The sequence below is a fragment of the Homo sapiens genome, chromosome 3 (genome assembly GCF_000001405.40).
Source record: "Homo sapiens chromosome 3, GRCh38.p14 Primary Assembly".
Lineage (NCBI taxonomy): Eukaryota > Metazoa > Chordata > Mammalia > Primates > Hominidae > Homo > Homo sapiens.
The window spans coordinates 28,556,583-28,582,082 of NC_000003.12; the positions used below are offsets into that span (position 1 = coordinate 28,556,583).

At 40.3% G+C, this 25,500-nt stretch overlaps 1 protein-coding gene and 1 long non-coding RNA gene across 2 annotated transcripts in view; one reads left to right on the forward strand and one right to left on the reverse strand.

The window, feature by feature from the left end:
- Window positions 1-370: 370 nt before the first annotated feature.
- Window positions 371-19,745, reverse strand: LOC107986012 (protein transport protein SEC31-like). Its single transcript, XM_047449399.1, has 3 exons — window positions 18,771-19,745; window positions 17,378-17,430; window positions 371-1,156 (listed from the first exon to the last, which is right to left on the reverse strand). Exon 1 carries the CDS (start codon window positions 19,743-19,745, stop codon window positions 19,155-19,157), a length of 591 nt encoding a protein of 196 aa, XP_047305355.1. The 3' UTR covers window positions 371-1,156; window positions 17,378-17,430; window positions 18,771-19,154.
- LINC00693 (long intergenic non-protein coding RNA 693) overlaps window positions 18,696-25,500 on the forward strand; it is a 183,060-nt gene continuing 176,255 nt past the window's right edge. The window contains exons 1-2 of the long non-coding RNA NR_038840.1: window positions 18,696-18,793; window positions 19,691-19,914. This is a non-coding gene — a long non-coding RNA (long intergenic non-protein coding RNA 693). The remainder of the gene's footprint in view (window positions 18,794-19,690; window positions 19,915-25,500) is intronic.

A 25,500-nucleotide genomic window follows, 5' to 3' on the forward strand; every position in this document is an offset into this window, starting at 1 on the left:
ATTTAGTGAGTTGAGTGAATTACATAAATCCTAACAAGTTACGTATCTCTGTGTTGGCCTGTGTCTTGGCACTCCAGGATTAACCAGACTTGGCCATCAAGTTGGTTTGTTGTAGCCAAAACCTACATGGTAGGGAGGGGTAATAAACAGATAATGGGAGTTTGCATGGGGTTCTGTTTCCTTGCCAGCTAGGTGGCCTTCGTTGTTATTTGGCTGATTGCTTAACCTCTGTGGGCCTCAGTTTTCTCCTTTGTAAAATGAGGATCTAATTTTTGACTTTCCTACCTTCTGTTTTGTGTGTGTGTATGTGTGTGTATGTGTGTGTGTGTGTGTGAGGTTTGAATGAGGTAATTTAGTTAATAGCAGTTTGTAAAATATAGATACCAGTAGCTTTTATTATTATGGCAATTACACAGGCAATGGTCCTGGTTAAAATTAGCAGGGGCCATATATTTCTTCCCCTTGTAGAATTCTAGCTTTCAGACTCATGGTAACATTTGTTTATCTTACTACTGAAAAGATTTTTTTGGTTGCTTTGAGCTCATTCCTTGATCTCCTTTCTGTTTCCTCATTAAAAAAGAAAAGAATAGCTAATGAATTACAGATGCTGTAAATGCCAAGCAATGACAACAGGCTGCTCTCAGGGGTCCAGTATCCTTGCATTCCACCGTATCTGTCTCTTCCACTTTCTCTTCAGTCTGGCATTTAACACCACCCCTGATGACATTATGGTTTCATCTTTAGAGAATGGTGTCACAGAAGTTAACACTTTTGTCATTATCCATTGAGCTGATTTTGAAATTCCTAAAAGGGTTTAAAAGCAAGATCAGCTGACTTCAGTTATAGCAGATATTATAGGTGAAACATGCTCTTCTGAAATGGCTGTTATGTCTGCATCTACATCCACACTGAAATTCATCATCTCCAGCTGCATTCTCTCTTCATTTTGGTGGCGAGAGGGGGACCAAAGTTTGGTGCTTTCAGCTATGAGACTTCCAGGTTTTAGGCAGTATTTCTGCAGCATACATTTCCAACACCTTGCTCTAATCGCAATGCTCTTTGCTTCATTTTACTCATATCCTATCTATCTTCCAAGGCCCATGTCTTTCTTTCTTCTCTCTTACTGCTGGGACTACTCCTCCAATTATTTCCTTCCCTGTAGTGAGAGAATGATAGAAACTTAAGGCTGGAAGGGACCTAAAAGATCCTCTAGTCTTAAACATCCTATAACCCTTCAATCTATCCCAATTAGTTGTTCAACCTGTGCTTGAACAAACTATTACATCACACCAATTACCTTAGAGTTAATACAAATGGTCTAATTGTTTTATAACTTAGTTTTCACTCCCCAGTAAAACAGTCATGAGTTGTTCCTTTATTATCTCTTTCAACCCTTAACGTATTTGTATTGGTTGGGATTGCTTTTGACTGTATGTAGCAGAAATCTGAATAAAGTTGACAAACAAATAAAGCTTTATCTTCTCTCATAACAAGAAGTCTTGGAGATGGGCCATTGTTGTTGTTGGCTCAGAGGGTCAATGATGTTGCAGCCAGCAAAATTTTTGCTATGATCTCTTTGCTGCAGCTCTTTCCAGGTACCATGATTACATTTAAAGCAGAAAGAAGGCAGTCACATCTATAACTTTTTGTCATGATAGCAATAGCTTCTTCAGAAAATTTTCATTAGTTTTATGCTTACGTCTCATTGACTAGAGTGATCATATCTGCAAGACTGGGCTGTAGAAACTGAAATGAGATTGTCATGTTTGGTGTATCCCAATAATAATTCATATCCTGGGGATAGGCTTATTGCCTCTCTCCAAAGTATTTGGGATCTGTTAGACAGAAAGAAAGGGAGAATGCTATTAGGAGAGCTACGGTCATAAGCTGTGTTCCTCTACAAGCTAGTCATGAGACAACTTTGCAAGCAAAAAGAGCTGATTTAGGAGATGATCCCAAGAAGCATTGGCAGGAGAGTGGAAAAATGAAAAATGGATGGGTAGAAAGATGTATTAATGAGCAGGTTAGTGCTGTGGGCAACTGCAGCTCAGTCCTACTCAGGACCTCTGTGAGACAACGTAGAGCTTTCCTACCTGAGGGGCAAAGAAGCTAGAATATTTAACCAGCCATTCCCATCCATCATTGGTAGAAAGTTGCTCCCAGCAACACTAACTTCCAAGCACCTCCAGCCTATCACTTGTACGGACTAACCATCTCCCTCAAGCAGAGAGTTTTAGATGCTTTTAACAAGAGCAATCCATGTACTCAGACATGGTGAGTGCCAAGGGACATGCAGTGTCTGCTAAGCTACCATCAATGCCTGTCACAGTACTTACAAGGTACTCAATAAATACTTTAATTCAATGAACACTTATTGAGTACCTACTACTTGCCAAGCACTGTGAAAGATATTTACTAATTGATTTATTCTCCGAGGGACCTTTTTAATATAAACAAAAACAAAACACACGGTCTTTGTACTCAGATCTTGATAAATTATAAAATGCACTTTCCCTATGTCTATGACCCTTCTCCTTTCCCTATTCAATATTGGTGTATAAACTTTTTGTTCCTATCGAAGGAATCAGTCAGTACTAGAACAGCCTGTCACTGCACATAGTGTAATTCTTAGGAAACAAGCTGTTTTATTTCATAAAATGTTCAATGTTTCTGAGTTCTACTTTGTCCTTAAGAGCAGATATTTACTAACTAGCACATTAGTTGCTTGAAAAAAAGTGAATGTCTCTTTTTCTTATTCTAGCATGGAGATTTACTGCCATGAAAGAAACACTATTGTTCTTTTCTTAATAACTTACATGAGGACATGGTTGTCATGAATGTAGGTGTTGGCTTCAAACCTCCCTCAAAAGTTATTCTTAGGAACAACAGGAAAAATGCAATCATCCTGTCATCCCAGGCTAGCTTTGCTCCAGTGTGAGATTCTCTTGTGCTGGGTGGATTGAGTCTGATTATGGTGCCATGACTATTTTGCTTTCAATTTCTTTTGCCTCCCTTCTTTTCTGGCTCTGCCCCTCTGCACTCATTGACTACGAATTTATTGGGTATTGTAGTGGGATTGATGCCTCTCTAGCATCTATTACACTCCTTTTCTATTATGGTAGACATATGGTTTGGTAGGACTGACCACCACACTCATACCCAAGGGCAAGACGTGATTGGCTTGTGTCAACGAGATATTTTCCTGGTCATGGTGATTAGTTCATGGGGGTTTATGTACAATGAGTATGGAGCCAGCCTGAGAACAAAGATGGCACAATATAGAAAGATAGATCCAAGAGAACAGAAGTGAAATAAAGTTAGAGCCCACTTCAAACTGTTTTAGAAACTATATTATTTCTATACATTTTGGTTCCATGAACTAATAAATTTCTTTTGTTGTTAAAACAGTTTGAGTTGGTTTTCCTTGACTTGCAGCCCAAAACATCTTGACTAGAAAAAAAAAAAAAAAACCCTGCAGTTTCTTTCTTCATCCAGCCTTGAATTGGCCCTACCTTTCACTCTGTATTCTCCTTTTGTTTCTCTGGGTTCCAAATCTGGATTTCAGTCACCCAATATCCAGCCTGCCAATATCTTCCCAAAATGTGGCCAATACTTAACCATGGAAAGACTCAGTCATCCAGCTTACTAAGACCTTCTGAGGCATGGAGAATTACCATAAGACATATGCCAAGTATATCCCCAAATCGTGTCTTTCGACTATAAACTCCATAAAGGTTGCCTTATTCTAAATTATATAAAAACTGTGAGGCAAGAAAATGTTTGACAATAAGCCTAGTTCTGGAATTGGTGTTCACAGTCTTTAGTTCTCCTATTGTAAACCAAAATTCCTTTATTTATAAATGGTGAGTGATTAGCTGTGGAATCTGGGCAGTGTAATTTGCAGCAAATTACGTTTAGTGTAGTTCACCTTGTGTTGATCTCTGAGGAAGAAATCATTTTCACTCACAAGAGCTAGTCAAATACAAATCTATCCCTTTCATAAAACAGCTATTTTTCAACATACCCTAGAGAACATGAGAAGAAAGAGCCTTACCTGGACATATGAGAGAGTTACAGTAAGTATGAGGAGGGTTTTCTTCATGCAAGGTGTTTTAAGAAATAGAATGGGTGAGGTTAGTAAATGTCAGCAAGGTTAGTAAATGTTATTTATTTAGAGATCCTTAAAAACAAAGTGGTTTTGTGTAGGTGAAGATTTGCTTAATGACAATGAAAAATAGAGTCTTTAGCTGTCTGATGATTGACACTGAAAAGCATATACTTAGTTTCCTGTAAAAGACCGAAGAGAGCTTTCAGAATAAATAGCACTATAAACACAGATGCAAAAATTTGCACTACCTGGAAAGTATGGGTTCTTTCCTTTTTTCTATTCAACAAAAATCCCATAGAATTCATTGGCCTCTGACATTTCAATGCATAGTTGGTAAAAACAGGTCAGGTTTGGTTGGCGTCTGACTACATGGCACATTGATTTTGCTCTTACTTTGGCCATCTTTTGAAGCCTTGCTTGGTGTACCCACATTTGGTCAGAGAACATTTATAGTCTGCTCAGTGATCTTGACATTCCTAATTTAGAAGCAATAGGTACATCTAATGACTCACTCGGTCCTGTTGATTTTGCTTCTAATTCCCTCTAGAATACAGCACCTCTTCTTTCTTTGTGGTTGCTCTCTTATTCAAAATCTTATTTCTTGCTTCTCTTACAGCTCTGGTCCCCTAGTTGGTTTCCTTGCCCTCTTATCTTACTTTTCTCTATAGGGTTATCATGAAATCTCCCACATCTTATTCCTTGCTTAAAATACCACCATCATTACCATGATATAGAAGCACCTTCACGATCTGCGTCCAGACAACCTTTCCACCCACCTCTCATTTCTCGTTTACACACTTGAGGTTCTGCAATGTAACATTACACTCATCGTCTTGCTCTCTACCCATTGTTCTCTCCGCTTTGAACAGCAAGGATGCTCCCTCCCTTTTATTATTTCTTGTTGACATCTCCTCATCCTTCCAGATTCAGCCCAGCCACTGCTTCCTCCCTGACACCTCAGACTGAGTTAGACACCATTTGGGTTCCTACAGCACGTAGTGCTGATTGTCAGTCTCCTGAGATCCTGGAGGGCTGGAGCTATGTCTTGCATTTCTGTATTTCTGGCATAGTTCTTAGAGCCTAGTACAAGTGCTCAGGAAAGGTTTGTGAAATGAAGGGCTGAATGAATGAGGGAGAGATTATGCTTAACTTGCTCTCTTAGGGAATGAGAAATGAATGAGTTAGGGTCATTACGCACTCCTGAGGGGTATGGACTGTGGTTGAGCATAAGTTATGCCTTTGTAAGAACATGGTTAGCTCTGTTTGGGATTGTTAATCAAAATCTAGACTTCTGACTTCCTGTGCTACACAAAAAGCGCAATGCCGTAGAATTCCAACATTCAAACATACTGAAAGAAGACCAGGTGGCTAGAGCTTGTCCAACTCATACAGGCAGTTACCTAACTGATACAAAGTTACTATGCACCCTGGAGTTTCAGACACCCAAGTAAGAGCTGAAAATTGGGGTAGAAATAGTCTTTATTAGCGTGTCCTCAAATAACCCCAAACTAAAATCCCCTGCATGATATGAAAATATTTCAATGGATCTTTCAACAGTGGGTCTATTAAGTTTTAAATTTGCAGTTCGAATAGAGTCTAATAATACCTAGTAGATATTTATAAATGTGATGAGAGCTTTATGTAATTACATTATTTAATCTCCACAACAACCCAAAGGTATAGGAAATGTTATTATCCCCATTTTACAGGTGGGGAAATTGAAGTTCAGAGAAATTAAATAATTTAGGTGACTTTCCGAAGTCATACATATACTGGTAGTGGAGTTAGAATTTAAAATTATATTCATCAGACATCAGGGACTTGCACTCTTAATTAGCTACTTTTTGCAGTCTTAGCCAGGAGGGAAAGCAACATGTGCACATTTTCAGTTCTTTTTATTGATACTGTATCAACAAAAGCATATGAAGTTTTCACTATCTAAACAAGGTAGCAAGATGTGAAGCATCAAATATTTAAAACTAAGAATCTGGAATGTAAGTAAATATGAAGGGAAAATATTATTCTAGCTATGCAAGGCATGGGTTATTATTCACAAAGTGATAGATGAGAAAACTGAGATCAGAAAGAGGGGTGGATAAATTGTCCAAGGTCACAGAGTGAGTGGCTGAAGTGGGATTTGAAGAAGGCATGACTTACTCTGAAATCCTCACTGGGCCTCAGTTGTTGGGTGCTGGTAAGGCTCTTATTTAAATTTGTCATGGAAACATAGAGCAGGAATAAACTTAATGCCAGAAATCCTGCCTACTGCTTACCATATGACTAGAAGACATAGTTGAAACAAAAATTTTTTACCACTCTGAGATACTATTCTGGCATTAAAGTGAATTAAAAAACACAATGTGGTACTACCTCATACCCACTTGAATGGCTACTATCAAAAAGACAGAAAATAAATGTTGGAAAGGATACAGAGAAATTGAAACTCCTTTACACTGTTGGTGGGAATGTAAAATGCTGTAGCTGCTTGGAAAACAGTACAGTAGTTCCTCCAAAAATTAAAAATAGGAATTACCATATGATCCAGCAATTCCACTTCCGTGTATATACCCAAAAGCACTGAAATCAGGAACTCAAAGAGATATTCCTACATGAATGTTCATGACAGCATTATTTACAGTAGCCAAAAGGTAAAAGCAACATAAATGTCCATCTGTGGTGAGTGGATAAACAAAATGTTGTGTGTGTATATATGTGTGTATATATATATATATATATATATATATATATATATATATATACACACATATATATTTATATATAACAGTGGAGTATTATTCATTCTTAAAAGGATATGAAATTCTGACACATTCTATGAAATGAATGAACCTTGAGGACATTAAGTTAAGTAAAACAAGCCTGTCAGGAAAGGATAAATACCATATGATTTCACACATAGGAAGTACCTAGAATAGTCAGATTCCTAAAGACAGAAAGTAGAAGGGTGGTTGCCAGGGGCAGGGTTTGAGGGGAATAGGGAGTTATTGTCAATGGGTACAGAGTTGCAGGTTTGCAAATGAGAAGAACTCTAGGGACGGATGGTGGTGGTGGTTGCACAGCAATGTGAATGTATTTAATGCCATTGACTTGTATACCTAAAATGGTTAAGATGGAAAATTTTCTATGTGTATTTTACCACACTTAAAAATAATTTTAAAATGAGCTAAGTATTACCAGTCAGAGTTCAGTCAGGAAACCAGTTACCACTCTAGCCTTTCAAATGGAAGAGAGTGTGATAGATTCAGTCACACATGGGATGGCCAGCAGAAGATGATGAATTCACCCAGAGGTTAGCAAGAGCAGGAGGCTTTTCCCACCCCTAGGGCTAGAATTCCACAGAGAGGAAGGTGTATTACCTGGTCCTAGAATCTGGGGCCACATAGTGGTAACTAAAACCACCGTGGTGGGGGTGTGTGGGGCTGCTGCCCAGCGAGACCTAGGGCAACTGAAGGAGGGTCTTTCTGTCTGGCAAGAGCTGGAGCCACAGAGGAGATGTAGCTGCTGCTGGATGCAGCTGAGGCAAGAGAGAGGGGAATAAATTCCCTAGCGTCTCCCCTCCTTACACCCTGCCATCTTCTACCAGTACCTCCTATGGACTGAAACTATCCAGAGATCAGTTAGCAAAAGAGCCCAGATATGTAGTTTCCTGTGACACAGAGCAGAGCAGGGAACACAACAAACAATGAGAAATTGATGTAAGAGCAAGCTGGCAAAACACCAGCACACTAGTCTGTGAAAGGCTTCTTTCCTTCTTGTTTAAAAAGCAATTTTAGAAAATCTCTCTACATTGAGTTTCAAATACCTCAGTGCTCAGTGATACTGATTATTATTAAATTAATTCACTTTCTAGAAGTTAGACACATTTATTAAGAGTCTATATATATTTGAACAGAGGTTTAGCTTTGGTTATCATTCAATGGTTCAGAAACTATCTCTTGGCCAACCAACTTCAAGTCATCCTGAGCAAAACGGCATACTGTTTTGTTTTGATTTGTTTGTAAAGGGTGAGCTCAGATGAAATAAAACTCTTGCTCTTCCTTTAAAATCAGATTAGCGTTCACTTTCTTCTCCGGCCCTCTCTCGTTACCTTTCACTCACCCCAAACCTAGGTTAGTGTTTCTTTCCTCTGCAACCTCGGCACCATGAGTTTACTTAGAGTATAATACTTATAATAATAATTTTAACATTTTGTTGATTTGTCTATTCTTTCTACATAAGTCTGCAAACTACTCAAGAGCAAAGACATTATGTGTGTGTGTACATACAGTATATGTATATATATGTTCATAGATATGTGTGTGGGTGTACTTTGCTATCTCCATCACTAATAACTAACATTAACCATTTCAGGGCCAGATACATAGTAAGGACTCAATACCGTTTTTTAAAATAAATAAATGAATAATTGTTTAATGAAACACACTTAATAGGTTTCAGCAACTGTTTGGATGTGGGGAGCTAGAAAGAAGAGTCAAAACTGCATGCGAGCTGTTCAGCTTTGATGATTAGGAAGAATTGTGCTGTTAATATAAATAACAAAGAATTGGATAAAACCTGGTTTTAATAAAGAGCTTTGTGAATTTGGGTTTTGAAAAATTCTAATAGACAATCAGAAGTATGGAACTGGCCTCAGAAGAGATGTCAGGGCTTAAAGATAAATTTGAAAGTCATCTTCATAGATGGGATTTATAGAGGAATCATCATGTAGCAGCCTGTTTTTTCCATATATTGCTGCAACAGGGTTTTCTCTTATCCTACATGCTCTTTTAGTACTTTACTACTTCCATATCAAGAAATGGAGACTATGTCCTCTCCCCTTGAACCTGGGTAGGCCTTTGTGTTTGCCTTGATCAACAGTGTATAGAAGAAATGGCCTTGTTCTGGTAGCTTTCTGCCTTGTTCTAGTAGACTCTTTGCTCCTAGAACACAGCCACCATGTTGTGAGGAAGCCCAAGCGGCCTTTGGTGAGCTCATGTGAAGAGGAACAGAGACCCCTGGCCCACAGCCCTTGAGCCCCAGCCAACAGCTAATACCAACTTGCCAGCCACATGAGTGAGCCATCTTCAATGTGAAGCTTTCAGCCCCCACTGGAGCTGCTCCAGCTGATGTGGAATAGAGCTGAGGCATGTCACATCTACCAAGCTTTGTCTGAATTGCAGTTGTGTGAGCACCATAAACGATTTTTATTATTTTAGAGTATTAAGTTCTGGGGGTAATTTGTTATATAGCAAGAGATCATTGACATATATAGGTGGAAAGGATCATGAAATTTGTGTCTGAGAGGCCTGAATTCAAATGCCTGGTTTTGCTATTACCAGGATTGTGGCTTTAGGCATTCTATTTATACTCTCAGAACGTCACTTTTCTCAGGCATAAAATGGAGCTAGCAATGCTTATTGCAATGAGGCTGTTATGATACATAAAAGAAATGTTATACATTAAATGCCTAGTGGTGTGTTTAATCTCTCTGGTGATTAATAACGAGTGCTATTTCAAGAAAGTTAAAGTTTTGTGAGCTCTCAAGAGAGAATATTCATGGAGTAGAACAGGTCACTTGGAGATGGATAGGGAACAAAGAGTAAAAATGAGAGTTGGTGAGGGATTAGTCAGAAAAGGAGGAGGAATTTAGACTGTGTAAGATTGATTATTTCACTCAATTTTTCTTCAGAAAATTTGAAAGTCCTTAATTTGAAATTTTTTTTGATAAAATTTGAGTGAAATAAGGGACAGACAGATGATGAAGATAAAGGAACCACAAAGGCATTAATTCCTGCAGTGGAGAGGTGATGAGTGACACACAACAGAACAGTGTCGACAGAGCAGAGGGCTGGGAGCCTGAATACTAAGGGGTAAAAAGAGAGGGAATAGTGAGAAGAAGCAAACAGTTGGCATCTCTGTATCTCTTAATTTCTAAGCATGTATGTTATTCTAAAGGTATGTGAGAATATCAAAATATGAAAAAGGTGTGTATCACCCACCAAAATTTCTATTTCTCCAGTATAGTAGTCCTTCTCTTTTCTCTAGAAATTTATCCAGATGCACCTTCTAACTCATCATCCACACTCTTCTGGTTCTCCCTAGAGGATTATTTATTATGTTTCTTACTGCCTCTGTGGGTTATTTTTTCTTATGTGTTTTGTATTTACATTTAAATTATCATTTTCCAAAATGTTGCATCTAATTATTTGCCATAGTTGTGCATGTTTGTTATACTCTGATTTCAAAATGGAAAGCAAAGTGTACAGATAAAGAACATAATGACCAGGGGATCAATATCTAGAAATAGGAGAAGAGATGCAAATGAAAGCATACCATTAAAAACTACAGATTTCCCACCTTCACTTGATTATTTGATACTTTCAGTGTGCAATTAACTAGTCAGAAGATATCTACTATTGTAATCTCAGTTTTTGAGTTGAACACATTACACTTTATTTCACAAATAGGGAAATGGAGACTCAGAAAAGATACCTGTGTGAAGTTGCAATTACTCACCTTCCTACAATAGTTCAGTGAAATTGACACAAACATGTGATCATAGTAAAATCCATGGTGAAAACCTAGTTTCCAAATAGACTGTTCTTGTTTTACTTTGTTGAAGACTAAATTTTCCGAGATGAGATGCAAAGTCATTCACATAAAAGGTTTTTAATATTCATTCTCAAACATGTATTTAGCTCCCACCATGTACAAGGCACTGCATTAGGTGGGCCTTCTAAAACATACTACATGAGGGCATGAAAGATAATTTGTGGTTTAAAAAGCCAAATTATGAAAATGTAATATTTATTAGGCACTTGTAAGATAAAAGGTACTTGCTAGAGCACCTCCTCTGCAAGCTTTATACCTTCGTATAATTTCTGGTTTGCTCAGGAGATATGAGCATGATGCTAATGAGAACCAGGTCAGGAGTTTAATTCTTGACAGCTTTGTACCAGGAATGTTAATTCTGACCAACCATGTCTAGGTTGTTGTTAGTTGTAGTTAGTTCTGCAACTGAGGGAAGTGTGGCTGGTAGAGCTAATGGTGACCGAGCAGTCATATAGGGCCAGTAAGTGGATACATGAGGCAGGAAATAGAGTTATCCATGGTATGTTCCAGAGTTCTCCCCCGCCGCAGGAGACAGCAGTCGGCAAGGGGGATTGGGACGTGGGATATAGGATACAGGGCTGAAATTGAAGCAGGATTCACTTGGGAAGCATAACACTTCTTCCCCATATCTATTTCTTTCCATGTGTGTGGAGTTCAACTAGCACAGCAACCCTGGCCTCTCTCAACTCTTTCACTCCCACTGCCTCAGGAGAGGTTTCTTGTCTGCCTAGTGAATTTGGGAAAAGATGGACTGAGTTTGCTGGCCTCCTCCTTTTTCTTTCTGGGAGCTAGCTGCCTGCAGGGCACATGCCCACACTGTTTGTGACTGGGTGAATCTGTCTGCCTGATCTTAGTGTTCATAAATAGGAAGACCATTTGCTTACAGATACAAGCTACATCTTCCAACCTAGATGTTATCAGTAATAGAGGTGATATTTTGGCCCTGGATATTCTTTGGCCTTATTTCTCACCTTAAGAACTTGGGTTGGTTATTTATTGGGTTCCCTTTTTAAGACTCCTAAGGGATACACAGGGAGAACGCTCTGGTTGCTGAAACTCCTGGGGTAAGTGGGTGTGTACTGACTTTTTTCTTTCTGGTGCTCTCATAGTCTTTTGTGGCATACCTTAAGTATCCATATTGCTGTTGTTTACAAAGCAGAGACTATCACATGCTTCATCTCTATGGCTCCAGTGTCCAGCAAAGATCCCAGTAAATGTAAATATGCAACAAAGATCCCCAGTAACCCCGTCTCTACTAAAAATACAAAATTAGCTGGGCATGGTGGCGCATGCCTGTAATCCCAGCTACTTGGGAGGCTGAGGCAGGAGAATCGCTTGAACCTGGGAGGCAGAGGTTGTGGAGAGCTGAGATGGCGCCATTGCACTCCAGTGTGGGCAACAAGAGCAAAAGTCTGTCTCAAAAGAAAGAAAGAAAGAAAGAAATCCCCAGTATGGCAACCAGGAATCCAAGCTGGGAGGCCCAAATCAAAGTAAAGGGCACAGAAATAATCAAATGTGGGAGATCATAGGAGAGGGACTGCATTTCTCAGCACCACACCTAAACATTCAGAAGCACCAATTGTCAGAACCAGCTCAGCGAAGCTGACATTCTGCATAAGACTCAGGAAGCCGAATGGGCCAGCTCACTAAGGCAGAATTGCTCTGATATTGCTTGGGCAGAATGTGACTTCCCTTCAAACTGAAAAGGTCTGGAAACATTTTCGCGTGACCCCAAAATTAAAGTTCAGAATCCTGGGAATTCTTATGTCCCCAAACTACACGTAAAATTTTAGTCATCTGTTAAGAAACGTGTGTGTTTGAGCAAGTAAAGGGTGGTGCATCTTCCAAACATTGCTCAAGACAACTATTAGAGTTTGTGGCTTAATTTTATTAAGATATCAGCAAAGGTGTAGAAACACAGAACTGAGAGTTTGGCCCTCTTAGTTCATCACTGAAGGAGTAAATATTTTTGTCTTCTTTCATCCTCACTCTGCTCCCTCTCTTTTCAACTGGATTGATGTGGATTATGAATAAACTTGCCCTCCGTTTTTGAGAAAACGACGTCTGAGTGAGGTGGGTCTTAAGAAGCCCTCATGAAAGTCAAGATGTTTTGAATGGTGTCTGAGCTCCCGGCCAGCCTCCTGAAATCATATTATCTGAAGTCCCTTGGAGTTTCTTTCCTGAGGACAACAACAGTCTATTTATTGGTTTCAGTTGCTATGAAGTGACCATCCTGCAGAAGTGAGGCTGTTGCCCTTAGCTACACATTTCTTTGTGGGAATAATTTTGAATCACACAGTACCAAATCAGCAGCTGGGCAAGGCACAGACCCTGATGAAATATTTTCCTAGTGTTAGCCTCCTTTTATAAGACAGGTTGTGGCTAATTCAGTTTAGAAGTGATGCATGTCATTTTTCAATCAAAGAAAAGGGCTGACTTTATTTTAACACTATCCTCTTCCCTCTCTAGTAGGGATTTGCTTATTTTTATTCTGCCTTCCTGAGGTGTGTTAGTTAAAATACCAATCCAAATCTCTGGAATAATTTTTTTCCTGATCATACCCACCTTACATGGTTATTGAAAGGATTATAGGGGATAATATACAGAGCACACTTAAGCAATGATAGGCAGTGCAATTATAAGTGTGGTTGTTGTTATTCTTATCCCAGAGAAGAGAAAGCTCGAGGGGGCTGGTTTCTGTTTTCAAATCATGAGTGTTTTTGTTTTATTCCCTCTCCTCTCATCTCACCCCATCCCATCCCATCTCATTCCATTGGTTCCATAGATATTTAATATCCAGACTAAGTGTTGAGTACATTTCTATTTTGAATTTCATTTGCTATCTTCTAGTACTGTTAACTCTATGATCTCTCTTTTGTTTTGCATTTCACCTTCCATTTTGAGAGTAATCTGCAAGTTTTGATATTTACTTTCAACATAGATGCACTCAATGTAATCAACTTTCCATTATACACCAACAAGATGCTTGGGGTGGGGGGGGGATGTCTTTATGTATCCTGTACTCTGAATCCATTTGCAGTCTTTTGTCTCTTTTTCTTAAAGCAGTTTCCAAATGCATTCTATGTCTGCTGATGTTCGAAAAGGCTGTAAAATTAAAGCTAGGCAATTATGAATACTATGAAAAAGGTTTTGACAACTTTTGGTGGCATTTAATTCAAGTTAAACTTCTCTCATTCAAAATAATAAGCATAATGTTACTTATTATGTAAATGAGGTGGCAAAGGCAGATGTTTTTCTTCCTGGTGCATTCACTGGGGATTAATACATACAAAAGCTGAGAAGGAGGGGCTGGTGTGCAACCTGGGAACTGGAATAAGGGTTGAGCAAGAGGAAAGATGATTACTCTTGAGCTGTGCTGTTCAATAGTGGAGCCGATAACCACATAAGGCTATTTAAATTTAAATCAATTAAAATGAAATAAAATTAAAATTCAGCTTTTCAGTCATATTAGCCAATTCATTTGTTCAATAGCCACATGTGGCTGGTGGCTACTTATTGAAGAGCACAGATGAAGACCATTTCTATCATTGTAGAAAGTTCTACTGGACAGTGGTGCTAAACCTAGAAGGGTTAAAACAAAGGGAAGGATGCTTGTAGATTCCTCTACAATTGGAACTTTATGCATAAGAGTTCCACAAGGTTCTCAGAATGGATGTACATCCACGAAGAGCCAAGAGATGTAAGAGTTAGGATTAAGTGGCTAGTATATCTTTTTGTATATCACGGTGATACACTATATCTGTGCTTCTCAAACTTTAAATGTGCATACATATCACATGGGGACCCTAAGGTGCAGACACTGATTCAGTAGGTCTGGGGTGGGGCCTGAGAGTCAGCATTCATAAACAGCTCCTAGGTGATACTGATGAACACTCAGGTGATGATCTGTGAATTGCACTTTGGGTAGCAAGGTGCTAAAGCCCTTAATAGCAGAGACTTGATTTACAGCAACATCCCTGAAGATGGTTAACCAATCTGACACAGGAATCTTTAATCACTGGAGGCTGGTGCCAGGGTACATCTCATAGCCTCTTAAAATTGAATCATTTCACATCAAAGTCCTGCTGGAGACAGCAGAAGCTGCTGTCATGTTACCAAGAAGGAAAAATGGCTCATCGGAAAATACTGAATACACTAATTTGAATCTATGATAATTGGGATAGTACTCTACCTTTCTAGTTCTCCATTTTTGCAGATTAAGAACTTTTTTTTAAACTAGCATAGAAGAAACTGCTGCTCCATGGAAACACTGATTTGCATACATAAAAATTCAGTCTATAGACATCCTTCTCAACCTTGTCTGCACAATTGGAATCACCTGGGGGAACTTTTAAACATTAACATGTTAGATTTCACCCTCAGATATTTTAATTTAATTGATTGTGAGGGAGGAAGTCGTGTTTTTTGAACACTCCCCAGGTGATTCTCACATGCAGTAGCGGAGAATCTTTGATCACAGCAGTGGATCTCAAACTTGAGCATGCATCAAAATCATGCCTTGTGAAAACATGGATTGCTGGATCTCACCTCTAGAGTTTCTGATTTGGTAGGTCTAGGATGGACACTGAGTGTGCATTTCCAACAAATTCCCAGGTGCTACTGCTGCTGGTTTGGGAATCACACTTGGAGAATCACTCACAGGCAGCACTGTTTCTCAATCTTGGCTACACATTGTAATCACCTGGAGAGGTTTAACAACTACTTGTGCTTAGATCCCACCCCAAATATTCTGATTTAAGTTTTCTGGGGCCTAGTAGTCTGGGCATTGAAGATTTTAAAAAGTTTCCCACTATGAAAACTTGAGAAACATTAATGGTAATAAAGCAAACCCATTAGGTCTGGGGACTAGAAGCACTGGCTTTACCTGGATGTTAGAAATTTAGACTCTCACACCCAAACCCAGACCGGCTGAATCATAACCTGCATTTTGACAACATTTTCCTGGTGACTTCATATACATTAAAGGTGAGAAGTACGACACCAGATAGCCTTTTAAAGTAACAGTTTGTTGATCTGTGTGATTTAAAGAAATTCTTGTAATAATTTTTTATAGTCCCTAAAAATATTGGGGCACATAATTTGGTCCAAACTCACTCCAAATTATTGTAGCTTTATTAGGTTGCCACTGCACAGACAAGCACTTGTCAGCTTCTGTTTGCCTTGCAACCGAAGACATTAGTTATCCCAGCAGAAAGAAACTGTGGACTTTCAAGTCTCAAGTAGAAAGAAGGTCAAGAATAAACAAGTTTTTAAGAAACTAGTTCCACATATTTTCATCAAGTTTATTATTCAAGACAAAGGGAATTTTAGGTTAATGCCTTTAGAGTTTAGAAAACTGTATGCTTTTATTACCAGAGATACAATATAGATAAATTTTCTTTTTTTTTTTTTTTTTGGAGATGAAGTCTCGCTCTTGTTCTGCAGGTTGGACTGCAATGGCGCGATCTTGGCTCACTGCAACCTCCGCCTCCGGGGTGCAAGCGATTCTCCTGCCGGGGTCCCCCGAAGCAGCTGGGATTACAGGCGCCTGCTAACCATGCCTGGCTAATTTTTGCATTTTTTTTAGTTGAGACGGGGTTTCACCATGTTGGCTAGGCTGGTCTAGAACTCCTGACCTCAGGTGATCCACACGCCTCGGCCTCCCAAAGTGCTGGGATTACAGGCATGAGCCACCATGCCAGGCCGATAAATTCTTAATTCATGAAACTTTTCATTATGCATGACTAAGATCCTGGAGGATGAGAGGTGGTGGGGAATATAATGTCTTAAAAAAAAGTTGCTAAATTGTGTTTTCCTAGTGAGCCTTTCTTGGTAGTCTTTTAGGGAAATAATGAGTGCCCATAGATGATTATAATGTAGAAAGACCAACCATGTGATGTGCCAGAGCACTGGCTCTTAAACTTAAATGTGGTAGGAATCACTTGTTAGATGCAGATTCTGATTCAGTAGGTCTAGGGTAGGGCCCAAGACTTTGCACTTCTAACAAACTCCCAGATGTTGGGAAGCTTCTGGTTCATGGATCATACTTAGTAGCAAGGAGTTAAGAGTGACTACTCTCCCAGGACACCTTTTTGTAAACTCCAATTTCAGTGACTCAAAAATTCAAGAGGTCTGGTATAAATAGGAAGAAGGGTGATGTTGTTGAAAGTGCTAATTTACTAATTTAAATCATTTGGGAAGAGAAAGCCAAAGGTCAAAATTATTCATAGACCTATCATTAATGGAAAGTTAATTGAGAAATGAAGAGTCATTTAAGGCAACTGCAAAATAGTAACACAAATACCTCAGATGACTAGTAGGGCAAAATTTTCAAAATGTTGCAAGCTGTCTTCATGCTTGAAGTAGCAATTTACATGCATAATTAGGTGCAATCAACAGTTTTGAAATGTAATATATTTTCCGAGTCCATATTTACTTGTGACAGATGCTTAAAAAAAACTGTCCCCCAAAAATAGAGGGGCAGAAGAAAGGAGAAATATTTGCATTTAACAATAAGAATCTTTAAAAGGACATGTCTAAATTTAGGACAAATTTAATTGAAGTATTGTATCTTTATTTTGATTTAATCTTCATTTAAGCCTTGAAAGAAGTTCACAAACGTATTTTGGAAGTAGCAAGCATGGAAGAATAATAACTTACCAGTCAGCTATTCCTGCTGCTGTCTGAACTGACATGTGATTTTTATTGCTACACTGTAGGGAAAAAAAAAAAAACAAAAACCTGACAAATTCAAACCTTTATTGCACAAAATATTATTGACTTTCTTCCTGTCTTCAGAAGGGGCTTCATTCTCTAAAGATACCAAATATCTTTTAGGAAATTTAAATAAAGGTGATTTAAACCGGTAGCTTCTATTTTGTAAATCAAGGTCTTCAGATGAACACTCAGTGTGAACATATATCATCTTACTGTTCTCGGTATAACAATGTTAGGTGCTCGATATGCACAAAGACACTCTGCTAAGCACATTACACATATAATCTAATTTACCATTATAAACGTTCTATAATGATTGTTGGTTTATTACCAGGTACTGGGGAGGAGCTCACTCTATTTTCAACAATTCCCAATTTAGAAAACGAACTTGAAATCTGATTTTTAGAAAATCTGAAGAAAAAGAGAATGGGTAATTTGGTCCCTAAACTTTTTCTTCTTTTTCAAAAACTTGTTCACATTGCATTACCCAGATTGGTTGTCTACACTGATGAAAGTGGCAATTAATTTCTGTCACACATGCAGAGTCAGATTAAAAGATAGCATTGAGGGATACAACCTAATGATGTGTTCTTGTGTAACTGCATCAATGGGACAGTGTGTCTTGATATGTAAAAGTTGTGTTTAAGTTAATGCAAAGCATTCATGGGATGAGCAATGCAATTTTCCAGTTTCATCAAGCAAGTGTGATCTGTGATACATGCTAGGGGAAAAAAGCCATCCTCTGCCAAGAAACGCATGAATAGTTCATTAATCTGCTGATCCATTTGGGAGCATTATGGAATTCAAAGCCCAGAATAATGGGCTCTATTTAATATTGAACAGGTTCTTGATAACCCGCCATTTCTCTCCAGAGCTGCTTGAAAGTCCCTCCTGGACGTGCAGAGTTGCAGTGGCAGTTCCCATGAAGTTGTAAGCTACTACCCAGGATCAAGTGGTGTTAAATTGAGAAGTCATCCTGTTCACCTGACTAGTGGTGAACCCTGATTTAAGAATTTCCAAGGCTACCCTCGCCATCTCTATTTAAATTTATAGACGCAACGCACTGCCTGCCCTGGGGTCACCACCGAAGCCTCCTGGTGGAGCCCTGCCCTGCTGAGGACGCTCTTCCAGCACAGAACTCACCACCAAAAAGAGACGGCGCCCAGCTGGCGCCCGCCCCGGGCACATTGCAGTAAATGCCTGGCAGCGACTTCTCGCTTCTCCTTCCTCCTACCCCATCGACCCTCTGTTGCCGACCTTTACGCCAAACTCCGGCGCGCCGCGAGACTCGCGTCCTCGCTGTCCCCGAGGGGCCCCACCCCTTCCCGGTTCTAACCTGCGACCTGGCCAGAGGCAAGGGTAGGTCGACTTCCTGCCCGGAATTTGCCGTTGGCTTCTCCTTCTCTACTCCAGTTCTTTAGTGCAGGGCTGTGCGGCGCGGAGCCGCCAGCGGCAGAACAGACCCCGGAGCGGAGCTCTGGGATACACACACGCGCAGCCCGGAGGGACTGACCCCGGAGGCGCGCTCGGCCGGGAGAGGGAGGGGACCAGGGCCAGCGCGGAGGCGGGGGTCACCTGGGGTTGGGGGTGGGCGCACCAGCCCTCCGCACGCTCCTCTCTTTCTAGTCCTCGCCGCCACCACCTCGCACAGGTCGGAGATCCCTCCTTTCCTTGGCTCCTTTGCGTTGGGGAGGGGGTAAGGCTGAGGGTCGGCGCTTGGTCAGCGGGCGGGGAAGGTAGATTTCACTTGCACCTGAGAGTCCCTATTCTTGCCAGCTTCGCCGGGCAAAGCCCGGCGACCAGGTTGGTTCTTCCAGCAACTTTGTTCAGAAGGTTGGTAGGGAGGAGAAACGCCAAGGGGCCCCAAGAGACGCTGGAAAGCGGCTAGGAGCGTGGGCCGGGCTGGAGAGCAAGTACCCAAGCGGCCCTGAGGCTGGGAGCGCGGCTGGGAGGCGCCGCCGCCGCCGCCGCCGCCGCCGCCGGGATGCGCTCTGCTTAGCGGGACTGCCGGGGGCGCCTGAAGGCCAGCGCTCCAAGGACACGCGGCCACCCGCTCCTCGCGCACCCCGGCCCAGACGCCGCCAGGGCCGGAGCCAAGCAGGCGAGCGGAGCTGCGGGGAGCGGGGGCGAAGGGTGGCAGAAGGGAGGGCGCGCGGGAGGCGGCCCCTCCTCGGCGAGCCATGCGTGCCACGGGCAGCTGAGTAGCTGCCGGGCGCCGCTGCCAAGTCTCCACTCCGCTTTTGTCTTGCCCTCCAGTGAATGGGAAGATGGAGATGGATGTTGAGGGAGTTTCTCCGCGCCCGGAGCCCATCCCCCGCTCCCAGGGGGCTGGCGGAGCCTGCCAGGCGCCGCCACAGCCGCCCCAGCCCCAGCCGCCGCCTCAGCAGCTGGCTCAGGATGAACTGCCCGGCGAGAGTGCAGGCGCTGAGGACAGCGACGATCCCGAGACGAGACCCAACGGCGAGAAAGGAGAGAGCAAGGTAGGTCCACAGTGTTGGCGCTGTGATACCTTTTGAACAAAACCAAGGAGTTGCTGTCGTGGCTGTCACTTTAACCCCTCCGCTCCCCAACCCCCTTCCCTGGTTTGTGTGGGGGTGGGGGTGGCAGATGTGAAGAAGGCTTAAGATTTAAGGGAATCCATGGGCGATAGTGACTTTCCGAACTGGAGGGTATGTGCAGAAGTCTGTCCTGGTTTCAGTGTTCAGCGGTGTGTGCAGAGAAAAGTCGTCTGGTACATGCGGTGTGATGCTCTGGGCAAGCACAGCACCTCAGTAGAGCAGTGATGAGACCTTTGCTTGCCCTCGCAGTCTAACTGAGGCTTATTTGGATGATATGGGTCTAAGAGAAACATTTCTTTAGGAGCTGCCAAGTGGCTTCTGAGACTCCTTGGAGGGTGGTGACATCAACCTAAAGATAACAATGGGAGCAAAGTTTGGCTCATTTGCAGAATGGAGTGCCCTGCTTAACCCCGCTCTAAGCTGGAGGTCCTCCTCCTGACCTGGCATCCTCCTTCTAGGAGGGCAGGGATCAAGTGCCTGGCAGCAGATGAGCCCTACAAATCTTTTGCAGCCCTGCTGTGTCATTGTAGACCGGGGGATAGCTGCTACTTGCTGTGGAAAGAGGAGTTCTTCAGGTAATTGGATTCTAGTAAGAAATGGCTTGAATGTTATTTTCTGGTGCTGATGTCTCTTCCGCTGAGAAAATTGTAAAGTAGAGGAAATGGCATAGAAAATACTGCCTTGGTAGTATTAGTAGGGTGTGTTTATTACAGCTTTGTCTCTGAGCAGTCTTCCTTCACACACTCGGAGTTTAGTTTTGTGGAAGCTAATGTTGCTTTGTTTTATCTGTATAAAGTGTACACTGTGTATTTGTTAATATATTTTGAAACTGGCTGGCAATATTGGGGAAAAGTTGGTTCAACAAATCAGACTATTGGAACCAAATGAGTCAGTCAATCTATTTTCTCACTTTTGCTCACTTAAGGAAGTGTGCAGGAAAATGGGCGCTTCTGCTAGTTAGAAAGGAATTGTGTGTCATGAAGTGCCCCTTAACGGAGATTGCCTTGGTTTCTGTTAGAGCTTTCCTAAGATACTAGTGGATTAAATAAATACTGGAAACATGTCGGGATCACATTGAATTGCTGTTCTGTGTTTGGAGACAGGCTCACTTAACAAGTTCAGATTTGCAAATGTTCAGGATTGTTTTGCATTTTGAAACTGAGCTAAGAATCAAAATTGTTGTTTATCTTCCAAAATCAATATTGTTATTTAAATGGCAGTTTACCAAGGAACTAGAATTTGAACACATTCTAGATGCGACCGGGGTGCCTTACAAATGCATACAAGATTTACATTGTGAAAACTATGATGAATTTTAATATTCTGATATCCTCAGCTTTCCAGTCGCTCTTGATTTCATGAATATTTAATTTTGTCATGACTGCATATTTACTACTTTAAATGACTGTCTGCGCTCAGTTTTATGAAATAACCATAACTGAGCATCATATTACCTAATTGAACTTTAAGTGTCTTTTGCAAAATAGGTGTGGAGAATAATTAAAATATACAGCCAGTACTGCCATTTCCATATTGTTGATTCATATGCCCTGAGCATGAGAAATTCCTGCCATCAGCAAAAATCTGTGCTTATTTGTTTCCCTTTGATGCACCATGCAGACTGTCTAATGTTCTACCGGTTGTGAGGAATAAGGAAGGCAGTGCACTAGAAATATGACAGCAGGTGAAAAGAGAACTGAAAGCGGGTTGATTACATTTAGTTAATTAGCATGTTCAGATAATTGAGTATTCTGATGATGTGATTTGCTTCATGTTTGTCTGTAATTTCTTGAGGTGGAAACAAAATACTACTTTTTTTTTTCCCTCCAGGTGTTTGTCTTAAAAAATTATGTTGCATCTTTCTCTTAACCTAGAAATCAGCTGTGTTAACCCTTTGCTTGCCTCTAATACTGTCCTACTGTTTCTTTGGAGTCTGAGGATGGTTGCTGTGTTTCAGACTTTAATAACTGTTCTTGTCTTTGATGGGTACTAAGGCAAGTTATAAATTGATTTTTCTTAGAAAATTCTTATTTCATTAGTGGGAAGTCCTTTGGATGTCTGACCAAATTATTCTATTAAAATATAAATAGAAGACAAACTGGTATAAAGTGAAATGGGGTTTTATCAAGCTATTTGGGTTGAGGGGGAGGAGTTTATCACAGTATGGTTTTCAAACAGTAATGTACAAACATAATGTACCAGATGATTATGTTTTCTTTTCATTCATGAAAGCAATAAAATACAAATTTCAAAAACTGAATTATTTACTTTAACTTTACCTTAAGGATATTATAAGTAGGATGTGAGTAGATATGCCCTTTGAAAATAAAGTATCAGAGACTAATGGCATTTTTTTTAAGATTCTGCTTTAGGGCCATGATTTATTCTCCTATGAATTTATCTCAGTTGTCTTATTGGAAAAGAAATCAGAGCTTAGTGCCAGATCAGCTTGTCTCCTAAATTGCAGGTTCATGGTCATATGTCCTCGGAAAGTCTATGAAATAGGAAGAGAGGTTAGAAAACTGGATCAGTCAAGGGACTTTTTACGCCCAAGTTTCATGATGTGACTGGTGCTTTCTGTCCTAGAATAATGTTTCCTGATTCCTCTCTAGCAAATACTCTTCAAAGAAATATTAAAGCAGCTGCATATTATATTGCTTTGATTCCATGAACTGGGGAGGAAACAGACCTGAAATAGACCATCTATTCTTCCTCTGTGCTTTAAGGCAGGTTTATATTAAACCCTTACAAAAAGCAGCCTCTTCTCTTTGCAATGACATCCAAAGATAATATTGTAATCACCTTTGGTGACCTAGTGAGATATTTCTTTCTTGTCTTAGCAAAGAAGATTAAATGATCATGGTCCTTAAGTAAGAGACCTTCAAATTCTTGAAAGTGCTCTTGATTCTGGATTTGATCATCCTCAGAACTTCCTTAGAAAGCTTTTTCCAGGCTCTAAATATTGCATCCTTTCATTGCTTTTTAAAATTCTTCTGAAATGCTTTGGTTATACCAAATAACTCTTGGATGGGTGTTTCTGAAACTTTCTTTGGAAAAGTTTAAAAAAGTTTCTTGTGTCGAGGACCTGTACTCCAGTGTCTTATTCCCTCTGTATTATAAAGTTACTTATGCAAATGTGGAAATTCTTCCCATGATCTGATCTTAGATGCTAAAGAAAAATGATTATTTGTTTCCTTCAGGTTCATCTCTTTCATGAATATATGAATGGTGCTTTCTGTCCTCCCTTTTACTTCCTTCCTCACACCCTATGCCTGCTTCACCTCCCCTCTGCCAATACTATTTACTACAGTGTTATATATAGAAGGCATGTTTATGGCCCAGATATGAAGCATTATGACCAAACTCTCTTTTTTGCTCAGCTCTTATTAAATCCTTGGTTTGCAAGATGTGTTATTCCCATGGCTTTGGATTAGAGGAACTCTGTACTGTTGCTACCAATGATACATCATTGATGAAAATGACTCAGTTCTCACTTCAACTGCATTCCATCAGTAATGCTGTTCTAACAGTGATTCTTTAGGAGCATACTGTAGGGACTCTTACCGAGCATGTCATTACATTTATGAAAGCCTTTTATTTTGGAAATAAATTTACATTTATAGAAGAGGTGCAAAGATATATCCTTTGCCCAGTTTCCTCTAATATTAACATCCTACATAATCAAGGTATGTATATTACAATAAAGAAATGAATATTTGCATGAAACTACTAGTTAACTTGTGTAGTAAATTTTTTTTTCGAGTGAATGTGTAACATATAGTTGCTTTCCATTCTATTCCTTTAGTCTTTAAGGTGGTCTTTATACGTGAAAGGCTCTGTGAGAGGGTATTTAAGCGTCAAATTTAACTTCTGGGTGATGATCTCTCCCTTTTATCTGTTGAGTAGGAGCAGCTTGCAAAGTGCAAAGTCGGAGGTCCCTGAAGTTCTGCATCAACTGCAGTGAGCCCTGGGGGAGTTACAAGTTTGGCAAAGCTCTTGAGTGCTGTTAACGTGTGAGGAATAATGGTCTTCCTTTTTTGTTTTAACCTGAAAAACATTCCTGCTCCAGGTAAGATAGGGTTTATCAGTACACAGAGGACAGCAAAGTCTCAAGTGGCAGGCAGAGGATAAAAGGCAATGGATAAATTCAAGGTAGTTCACTTTGATGCCTAACCCCTTGGGCGATTGTTTGTGGCATGAAATCTAATGGAAGCCTTTTTGGTTTTACATTGTATATTAGCCAGGTGAACTCTGACTTCTGGCACAGAAGCAGAAACGTGTCCACAATAGGTAGGACGTCAATGTGATTAAAACTGTTGACTGTGAAATAAAAAAAGACCCCAATTTGATCCTGGCTTTGTCTTTTATTAGCTCTTGACCTTAGACAAGGTCTTAACCTTTCCAAAGCTTAACCTTTTCATCTGTAAAATAGGAATAATTATAAATTATTTTACAATAACCATCTATGGTTATTGTATGGCTCGAACGAGATAAAATGTATAGAGTTTTTTATTCAGTGCTTCATAGGTAATGGCTGCTCAATAATAGTGAATAAATTTTATGAGTTGGGGCTTCAAGTCTCCCTAATTTTTTTCAGTTTACTAGAGGGTTCTGGGACTGGAAATGACACAGCCATACTTTTCTACAGTCAAACCAATTTGCTGCTCATCCACCTGGTTTTGCCCTGTGGTCCTTAAGATGTTCTCAGGTCTTGGTGGGCAGAAGGTTAGCAAATAGTTATCCTGACTTGTCAATAGTCTGCTGTTTTCTCATCAGGAAAACCAAGGAAGAGCAGGATGAAAAGTCCCTATATCCTACCCCAGGCCCCAGAAGTATGCCTAAGACACTAGGAAAGCAAATGGATTACTCTGCTTTTGCACATTATATTTACGGCTTTTCAGGAAGATTAGGTGGCAAATCTTAAGACTTAACAAATGATTGAGTTAAAAAGTTGTATCTGTTAGGACTCTTTGGTTGCAGGAAATAGAAACTGGCTTTACTGTGAGCAAAATATTGTAAAATTTTAAGGTAATTACAAAATCAAACGGAAAATGACAAAACTAGTTTTGGGGAAATGCTGACACAAGAGTTGCTCAGATTTAAGTAGTAGAAAGTACTGAAAGGGCGCTGACATAAGAAAAATAAATCCTAGCCATTTTTTGCCTTTATGCCACTCTGCTCAAGACCTGTATTTCATGGGAAGGTTATCTAACTGGCCTCTCTTGGGTCAGATAGCTGCTTCTTGGCCAAGGTAAGGTGGGAATCCTCAATGCAGGTTCCTTCAAATTGTTTCTTTTGGATGGGGTTTAATTCTTGGAAAAATAAATCATGGTGCTGTTATCAGACCAAAGAAAATGGATATTAGTTGCCAAAACAACCATTATCACCCCTTTCCTAGATAGAGAGAGGCAGAGAGAAAGAATGAGAAAGAGAATGAGAAAAAATGAGAGGGAGAAACAGACATATTTAGACAAGAATCTGGAACATTTTGTAGCATTGTATTCCTAC

What these genes read in the sequence shown, in the direction of transcription:
- LOC107986012 (XM_047449399.1), bottom strand. Translation starts at nt 19,745, where the DNA reads ATGGGCTCCGGGCGCGGAGAAACTCCCTCAACATCCATCTCCATCTTC.